This window comes from Homo sapiens, chromosome 9 (assembly GCF_000001405.40).
Source record: "Homo sapiens chromosome 9, GRCh38.p14 Primary Assembly".
Classification (NCBI taxonomy): domain Eukaryota; kingdom Metazoa; phylum Chordata; class Mammalia; order Primates; family Hominidae; genus Homo; species Homo sapiens.
In genome coordinates, this window is record NC_000009.12 from 107,337,183 (window position 1) to 107,346,437 (window position 9,255).

Here is a 9,255-nt window from a genome sequence, read left to right on the forward strand (position 1 = left end):
AGTGCAACCCGCACCCTGGCATTGTGCCCTCCTCTCTGTCCTGGTGCATGTTGCTGTTCTGATTCATGCGTCCCGTGAACAAGGAGCAATTGCTATGTGGTTTGGAATTTTTCCCACCTCCTTTATGTTGCTAATTTTTTTTATATACAAAATATGGCCCCTCTTCCAGGAAGCCTTCCCGTGACCCCCTTTTCCCCTCTAATTTGGGCCAGGAACTCCTCTGGGTTCCCTCAGCTGCTTCTAAGTATCTGCCATAAAAGTGAACACCCTGAACTGGGATTATCTGCATTTGGTGTATCACTGAAGGTACTGAACGAGAGAAAACTGGTGAGCTCTCTCAAATTCAGGGCTGTGCCTTTCATCTCTGTATCCCCAGAACCTGGTGAAGGGCTGGACCAAAGACCAAAGGAGATGCTGAGGCATCATTGGATGGATAAACAGACAATGAACAATAGTTGGGATGCCTTTTGTCATCTTTCTTGTGGCCCTAAGCTCCTCTTTACCTTTTCCGGAACCCTTCGGTTCTGAAAGTGGCCTAAGATGGTCAATGAACAGTGCCTCAAAGGCAGCTCTGTTTTTCCTTCCTCAGCTCCAAAGACTTTTCCACCAGGTTCTGAAAGACTTGACACATAATGCAGTGAGCTGGCTGGTGGTGGAGACTGCAGGGTTCTACTGACCAGTTCCAGATGGGCATGCATTCTGAGACTTAGTTGGAGAGCACACTGACAGCTGCACTCCCAGAAAGCCTGTGCTGAGGCCAGGTCTGAGGGCCTGGGTTTGAACTTGGAGTCCGTCGGGCCCCAATTGTTATCTTCACAGCCACATCAGCTGGGTGACCTCAGCCAAATCAGTCTACCTCTGCTCTTGTTTTCTCATCTGCAAAATAGAGCTGCGGATGCCTGCCCCAGGTTGCTGGTGGAGATCAAGTGAGAGAGTGGATTGAAAACATCTTTACAAAGGCCAGGTTTGGTTTTGGATGTGGGTGCCAACTGCCTACCCTGAAGTCAAAGACCGTCTGGGAAGAGAAGTTCTCTTTGCCTTTCTCCCACGACGAGCGTGTTGCTGAGTTATTTCCAGGAGCGTGGGGTGAGCCTCTTTGATCTCAGGGTGCCATTGCCTTCCCTGCCTCACTGTGATCGGCTCAGCGTTCCCAAGCGGCCAGGGCGCTTCCCACTCAGCTGGGCAGCACCGCCCAAGCATTTGGCATTTGGGGAACAGAAAGTTTTTATTTTTATGAGCTGTTTCTGAGCAATGCCTTGTTTTCTCCTGTCTGTTTCTAGGCCACAGGATTGGCAGCTGCATCCAACCTCCAGGTCAAATTTGGCAGAGAACCAAGCAATCCTGTCAAACAGAATGCCCACTGCTGCTCCTTCCCATCTCGAGGAACTGTCTCTTCTCAATGTTTTCTTTTGATTTCCTCTGACAGTCTTGCTGCTCTTCCAGAGGCACAGGAACTCAAAATTGGGAAGGGTTTGAAGGTGACCCCCACGATCAAGTGCAGTGCCTCCCGCACGCGTGACTTCCAGCCTCCACATGCACACTTCCAATAACTGCACACACACCCTCCAGCTCAGGCCTCTTGGATTTCAGACACTCCAGTGGTTGAAGGGTCGCTATGTTAGGATCTCTGATCTTCCTCTCTAACCAGGCTATCCTCAGGTTCTAGTTCACTTCTGGGGGTCACCCTGAGCCAATGTAACCCCTCTTTCCTGTGTCAATCCTTTAGGTCTTTGAGAAGAGTGGTTGCGTTTTCTCTGACCGTGTCCCACCCTCTGGCCAAGCCTTCAGCTGAAAAGAGTCCCTCAGTTGGGGCGAGTGTATTGAGTCCTTCATTCAGATGAACCCGATACTTCAGGAGGGGCTGAGCAATAGGCACTACAGGGGAGCCCTCACCTCCCTTGTTCTGTGCATAATACCTCTATTAATACAGCCTAAATTTGGTCTTGCTGATTTGGCAGCCACATCACACTGTGCCCTTAGACTAAGTGACTGTGCTAATAATACACCAGACTTTTCAAGGTGTCTGTGCCTTTGGGGGTCATGTCTGACACATGTTATAGAAGCAGAAACAGCCTACTAAACAAATACTGCTGTTTTCATAAAGTTATGTTCTGGACCAAGAAAATTGAGCTATCATTTACAAGTCCAGTGTCTCACCCTGTGCTAAGTGCTCGTATGAGGCACTTTTGCAATTTTACAAATGGGATAACTGAGGTCAGTCAGGGTAGAGCTACACAGCTACCAAGTGACAGCCAGGTGGCAAACCTAAGTTGATTGATTCCGAAGTCACCCTAAGTGACACTGCCTCCCTATAGCCCCTGCTCCTTCACATTCCCTGAGCCAGTCTCTATCCCGCCTGTGATTTCTTTCTCTCTCTGCTGTTTTGACAGTTATTTGTTCCTCTGGTGATTTGCCTGGTTATTGCTAGACCAGCAGTTCTTAACATGCAGTATGAGGACTATTTTCAGGGGATGGTTATATGAAATCAAAACTTTTTTTTTTTTTTTTTTTTTTTTTTTGAGTCAGAGTCTTGCTCTGTCACCCAGGCTAGAGTGCAGTGACATGATCTTGGCTCATGGCAACCTCTGCCTCCCGGGTTCAAGTGATTTTCCTGCCTTAATAGCCCAAGTAGCTGCAATTACAGATGCCTGCCACCACATCTGGCTAATTTTTTTTTTTTTTTTTTTTAGTAGAGATGGGGTTCCACCATGTTGATCAGGCTGGCCTTGAACTCCTGACCTCAAGTGATCTGCCTGCCTTGGCCTCCCAAAACTGCTGGGATTATAAGCGTCAAAATTATTTTCATAAAAACACTAGTCCGGGCACGGTGGCTCACGCCTGTAATCCCAGCACTTTGGGAAGCCGAGGCTGGCGGATCACCTGAGGTCAGGAGTTGAAGACCAGCCTGACCAACATGGAGAAACCCCATCTCTACTAAAAATACAAAATTAGCCGGGCATGGTGGCACAGGCCTGTAATCCCAGCTACTCGGGAGGCTGAGGCAGGAGAATCACTTGAACCCGGGAGGCAGAGGTTGCAGTTAACCGAGATCGTGCCACTCTACTCCACCCCGGGCAACAGAGCGAGACTCTATCTCAAAAAAACAAAAACAAAAACAAAATCTTCTGGGTTTCTCAATTTTTAAGAGGGAAAAGGGCATAAGACCAAAAAACTTGAGAACTGCCGTGTTAGGTGATGGTTCTCTGTTAGATGTGTTAGATGACTCAGAAAAGAGTACCTGGGAAGGCCACTGGGGCACTGGTGAAGTGTCCCCTCTTGTCTGCTGGAGACATGGTTGGAAGCTTACATACCTGGTGCTGTGTGATGCTTCTCCGCCATTCTGCTCTCCATTCCTGCTTTCAGGAAAACAAACTCTAAACTCCCTGCTTGGCTTTCAGCGTACTTGCTCCAATTTACACCTTCAGTCTGGTCTCCCTCCCTCCCCACCGCATTCAACAGGGCTTCGTTACCCTGGCTTTTTCCACCCCTCTATGCATTTGCCCTCTGGTGTGCTCTGCCTAGAAACTCTCCCCTATTCCTCTCTCCTCAGTAGGCCAACGTTTAAAACCCACTTCAACGTGGCCAGGCGCGGTGGCTCACGCCTGTAATCCCAGCACTTTGGGAGGCCGAGACGGGCAGATCACGAGGTCAGGAGTTCGAGACCAGCCTGGCCAACATGGTGAAACCCCCGTCTCTACTATTAGCTGGGCATGGTGGCAGCGCCTGTGGTCCCAGCTACTCGGGAGGCTGAGGCAGGAGAATCGCTTGAAACCAAACAACGTTACAGGCTCTGTGAAGGCTTTCCTGCCCCAGAGTCAGCAGAGGATTGTTCCCTTGTTCCACTCCCTGAACATGTGGTACACAAACGGTGCGTATCTGACCATAGCTATTGATTTGCACATTTGTTTCATGGACATTGGTCTCAAAACCAAAAGCAAAACTGGCCTTGTCGGCAGTAGTGGGAGTTCAGCACCTATAGCTGACAAGGGAACTAAAAGGAAGTTTGCTTGAAGTCTTTGAAGGATAGAGGGTGGGAGAGGAGGGAGAGTCTGTCTCACATTGTAGGGAGGAAGTAAAACAAAAAGTCCAAGTGAGTGATGGAAAAAGCCAGGACCTGACATGCAGCAGGCTGAACACCTGGAGGGCAAGTGCTGTCTGCCATGCGCCGGCACGCCCCCTTGTGGTGAGGGAGAGCCGTGTAGTTTCAGGGGAGGAGCACAAAGTGGGAAAGACCCAGCATCCGTGGGTCGCTGAAAAGCTGTGGGAAATCGGGTCGCTGGAGGAAGGGAAGACGCTGGTCTAGAGACCCAGCTCATACTTGCCTCTATTGCCGAAACTACAGGGGAAAGAGGAAGAGAACTAAACCCCTATAACTTCAGGTACCAAGAGCTCTATCTGCATTGACTCAGGCCATTCTAAGAAGTGTCAGGCCCGGGCCTGGTGGCTCACGCCTGTAATCCCAGCACTTTGAGAGGCCGAGGTGGGCGGATCACCTGAGGTCAGGAGTTTGAGACCAGCCTGACCAACATGGAGAAAACCCGTCTCTACTAAAAATACAAAATTAGCTGGGTATGGTGGCTCGTGCCTGTAATCCCAGCTACTCGGGAGACTGAGGTAGGAGAATCACTTGAACCCTGGAGGCGGAAGTTGCGGTGAGCCGAGGTCACGCCATTGCACTCCAGCCTGGGCAACACACACACACACACACACACACACACACACACACACACAAATGCCATGCAGAGGAGGAAACTGAGGTTTAGAGAGGGTGAGCTATGTGCCCAGATTCTCATAACTAGAACATAGCCCAGGGAGGTTGGGGACTCACTTGGCTCCAGGCCTTCTCTGAGCCCATTTAGACCAATTTTTTTTTTTTTGTCTATACAAATATTAGGGTTGGGGGGACAGTGGGCTTTTCTTCAGATATCTGAGATAGCTTGAACTTTTACCCTTCTAAGCCATGGCTGGAGGAAGAGGCACAGGGAAAACTGATAGGATCTGGAGTCAGATGAGTGGGTTTTTTCTTTTTCAAGTTTATTTTGCCGTAAATGCAGCGGAGTAGGGATAGGGAAGTCTGTCCCTTTAGAATAATCAATCCTTCAAAATAATAATCACCTTCAAAAGCCATCCAAACAAAGACAAGTGCTCTGTGAGGCATCCATAGGTCATGGCAGGATCCCCTATCTGGCCTGTGATACCACCTGAAGCTCCCCGTCTCCTCTGTCTAGCCCTGAGCCAGTCCAGGTGCTATCTTCCAGCTGGAGCAATGGCCATTCTTAAGCCAGAGGTCCCTGCAGCCCCTGGGCAGGGGAGGTGTCTGGGGAAAAAGTGAACCAAGAATCTTTCCAAAAGGCTATTCTTTCTTGTGGCCTGGAATGCCTTTCGGCCTCTTGTATCCCTTTCTATGGGACTTTACAAAGCTCGTAATCTCAAGCTACACAATGCAACTTTGAGCAATGATGGATTTGCAATAACCCCAGAAAAGCTGGCTTAGGCCTCATAGATTTCTCAGTTAGCTTGGAACTCACACACATACAAATGGCTATTAGCCTGTTTCAGGGCCCAGGGAAAGATGGCTGGCCTCCAGACCTTTCCATATATCCCTCTAGGGTCTCTCTGGATACTTCTTCCCCTTCTATTCCCATTCAGCCTTCTAGACTCAGCCCTTATTCCTCATCCCAGATATTCCTTCTTCCCCAGGCTTTGCCACTGGGTGCCACTGGATCAGGGGCCTCCCATGACCCTCTCACTGGACCAAGGGACTCTCATGAACACCTTCACCACCTGACACTGGACCGGGGGTCTCCTGTGACATCCCTCACGCCCCCACTGGATCAGGAGTCTCCCATGGACTCTGCTGTCAATACTTGCCCTCGACGCAAAGCATTGCCTCTGTCTGATTTTTTTCTTTTTTTTTTTCCATCATGACAGTGTGAACTCCTGGAGGGCAGGCCTGTATGTTTTTCTTCTGGATGTCCTTACTACCTGGCACCTAGTAGGTGCTCAATACATTTTGGTTGAATAAATGAATCAGTGACAAGGAGTTTCAAGCCTCAGATTAATAATCACCTCCATAAAGCCTTCCCTGGTGCTTCCCTACCACAATGAAAAAAAAAATTACAAGTGAATGGCTTTTATTTTCAAAACGTTTGTTTTTCTTTTCTTTTTTTCTTTCTTTCTTTCTTTTTTTTTTTTTTTGAGAGGGTGTTTCGCTTTTGTTTCCCAGGCTGGAGTGCAATGGCGTGATCTCAGCTCACCACAGCCTCCGCCTCCCAGGTTCAAGTGATTCTCCTGCCTCTGCCTTCCTGAGTAGCTGGGATTACAGGCATGTGCCACCACGCCCTGCTAATTTTGTATTTTTAGTAGAGATGGGGTTTCTCCATGTTGGTCAGGCTGGTCTCAAACTCTCGACCTCAGGTGATCCTCCCACCTCGGCCTCCCAAAGTGCTGGGATTATAGGTGTGAGCCACCGTGCCCAGCTTTTTTTTTTCCTTAACCAATAAATTCATGTCATATGTTTTCAAAATTTCTACAGCAGAGTGATATGGATTCTGGCCATGGCTCTGATATTGTTGTTGTATGTCTGTAAGCCCAGTTTTCTCATCTAGAAAATGGAGATGTTTATAATCATCCTTCAATAATCTGATGAGCAAGACTTTACCAGGTATGACAGCAACTGTTATCTGGCACACTAGTCACTGCTTAATGCAAGTATGTCCATGTATTTAGCCCGCCATGTTGTCATTGCTCATTTACCACGTTTTCCCTTATAGTGGGGCTCCTCGTGGCTTCTTTTCCCACCCTGGGCTTGGCTATAGTTTGTTCATGGAATTTAATGACTTTTCTGCCTTACCAAAGATTTTCCGAGCACTTAATATTCACTGAACCCTTAAGACAAAGACCAACACTTGATACCCCCTTGGGCCAGCAGAGAGAATAATGAATAAGGCAGGACCCCAGTCCTCCAAAAGGATCACCATCTGGGAGGGGGCCCACAGAACAGTCAACTATAAGATTCCCGAGGAAATTCAGAGGTTAGAATGTGGGAGGGGCTCTTCCAAAACCTCCAGGGCCTGAGTCTGGGACTGAGGAGTGAGGAAGGTATGGATATTGTTGGAAAAGAGGAGTCCTGAGACAGCCCCCACTTTTGCAAGAACTAGCTCCTGTTTGGCTGCTACTTCTCAGCCAGCTGGAGATGGTAGAAACCCAGCCCCATAGATTCCTGGCCCCCCAGATTTTGGTGCAGGTACAGCCACCTTCTTTGGGCATGACAAACATTTCCAGGTATCTGCCATTGCTGCTTCATCCAGGAGCTCTGTCCTGGGCTGACTACTCAAATAACAGACCTCCATTGGGTTGACTATTGTCTCCATATTCATTTGTTGAATTTGTGCTATTGATTCACTTATTCATTCATTCATGTAATATTCGTTGAGCACTAACTGCCAGACCAAGTACTAGACTGAGAACATGGACTAAGAGCTCCAAACCCTGTCCCAAGGAGTTCTGTGACAGATAAAGCTTTCCAATGCCATGAGAAGTGCTATAGCAGATTCATGATCATCATAAAGATGGGACCTACAAGGTAATTGACAAGAAATCAAGGAAAGCTTCATGGAGCAGGGCATATGTGAGCTGGGCTGCAAAGGTTTTCTGAGTTCACACAACAAGAGAAGTGAGAGGAAAGGTACCCCAGGCTGAGGAAACAGCTTTCGCAAAGGCACAGGTGCAAAAAAGAACCAAGCAAAGTGGGGAATGAGGAGATTGTTGGTGTGGCTCAGACACTGGTCTAGAGGGTAGGAGATTAAGTTAGGACAGAGCCAAATTTACAAGGGGCTTAAATGCCATATTGGAGGCTCAGCCTTGAACTCAGGGTCAGTTGATAATCAACTGGGTTCCATAGACAGGCTCCAAAGCCTTCTTTATTAAGCCAACAAATATTTCACATAACACCCAGTGCATGCCAGGCACAAGGAGGAGGCTCAACACGAGGGGTTCCAGGCCACTTGTCTCTAAAGCTACATTTTAATGTTTTACATTTGGGGCTTCTGCATGTGAATCTATTCTAGAAAAAAGAGGTGTATTAGCTAAAAAGAAACCAAAACAAGCAAAAGTCTGCAGCCAATTGCTTCCTCGGAGAGCCATTGCAGGTTTTGTTTTTTCTTGGAGAGGGGTAGTGTTATATGTTTGTTTTTAGCAGAGGACAGGTGTGTTTAGATCTATTTTCAAAGGATAAAGATAATTATGAGGCTTCCCAGCCCTCCCCTGCAACCATAGTACAGGAAGCAGGAAGCTCACTGAAGCGGGGGCTGTTTCTCTGAGTCCTGAGCTCAGGACTGGTTCTCTCTACCCTGCTGGGTGCTCCCTAGGGAAGCCAACAATGTGGCGTCATGGGTTCCAAAAGGAAATATCAGTTTCTTCTGGGAAGGAACTTGACCTCCTTTGAGGCTGGGAGCATGAAGCCAGGGAAATCAAAACACCATCCCATTCTTTTTTCCTTCATGGGAAAGAAAGCCAGCTCTGAAGATAGCCTCTTGGTGGGGAAAGAGCTCTCAATCTTTGAAATAACTCAAATCTGAGTTCAAATCCTCCTTTGGCCCACTTAGCTATGTGATCTTAGACAACTTCCTCAAGTTTTCCCAGCCTCAGTATGTTCATCTGTGATGATAATTATTGCTTACACCTACCTTCTTACCAGTTATTAAAACATATTACAAAGCCAGAGCCAAAAAAGCAGCACATGACAAAGCAAACAAATGGCACAAAATAGAAAATCCTAAAACAGATCTATGATTATCCTAGAACTTGATAGGTGATAGACATGCTATCAAGAATCAGTGGGCAAGCCGGGCACGGTGGCTCATGCCTGTAATCCCAGCACTTTGGGAGGCCGAGGCGGGTGGATCACTTGAGGTCAGGGGTTTGAGACCAGCCTGGCCAACATGATGAAACCCCGTCTCTACTGAAAATACAAAAATTAGCTGGGCATGGTGGCACATGCCTGTAATCCCAGCTACTCAGTAGGCTGAGGCAGGAGAATCACTTGAACCCAGGAGGTGGAGGTTGCAGTGAGCCAAGATCGTGTCACTGTACTGCAGCCTATGCCAGAGAGTGAGACTCCGTCACACACACACACACACACACACACACAAAAAAAAAAAAAAAAAAAAAGAGGAAGAAGAAGAAGAATCAGTGGGCAGAGGGTGGAATGTTTAATAAATGGAGTTGGGAAACTGGCTCCTATCTGGAAAAAAA

At 47.9% G+C, this 9,255-nt stretch overlaps 1 long non-coding RNA gene across 1 annotated transcript, besides 1 other annotated feature; it reads left to right on the forward strand.

The window, feature by feature from the left end:
* Window positions 1-3,024: 3,024 nt before the first annotated feature.
* Window positions 3,025-6,043, forward strand: LOC124902241 (uncharacterized). The gene is made up of 2 exons (XR_007061717.1): window positions 3,025-3,868; window positions 5,701-6,043. It is a non-coding gene; the product is annotated as an uncharacterized LOC124902241 (long non-coding RNA).
* Window positions 3,946-4,240: an enhancer, noted in NCBI's record as "tiled region #15312; HepG2 Activating non-DNase unmatched - State 8:EnhW". NCBI's record gives its function as "activates a minimal TATA promoter and a strong SV40 promoter by Sharpr-MPRA in HepG2 cells {active_cell/tissue: HepG2}" and the evidence as "EXISTENCE:reporter gene assay evidence [ECO:0000049][PMID:27701403]".
* Window positions 6,044-9,255: the final 3,212 nt, after the last annotated feature.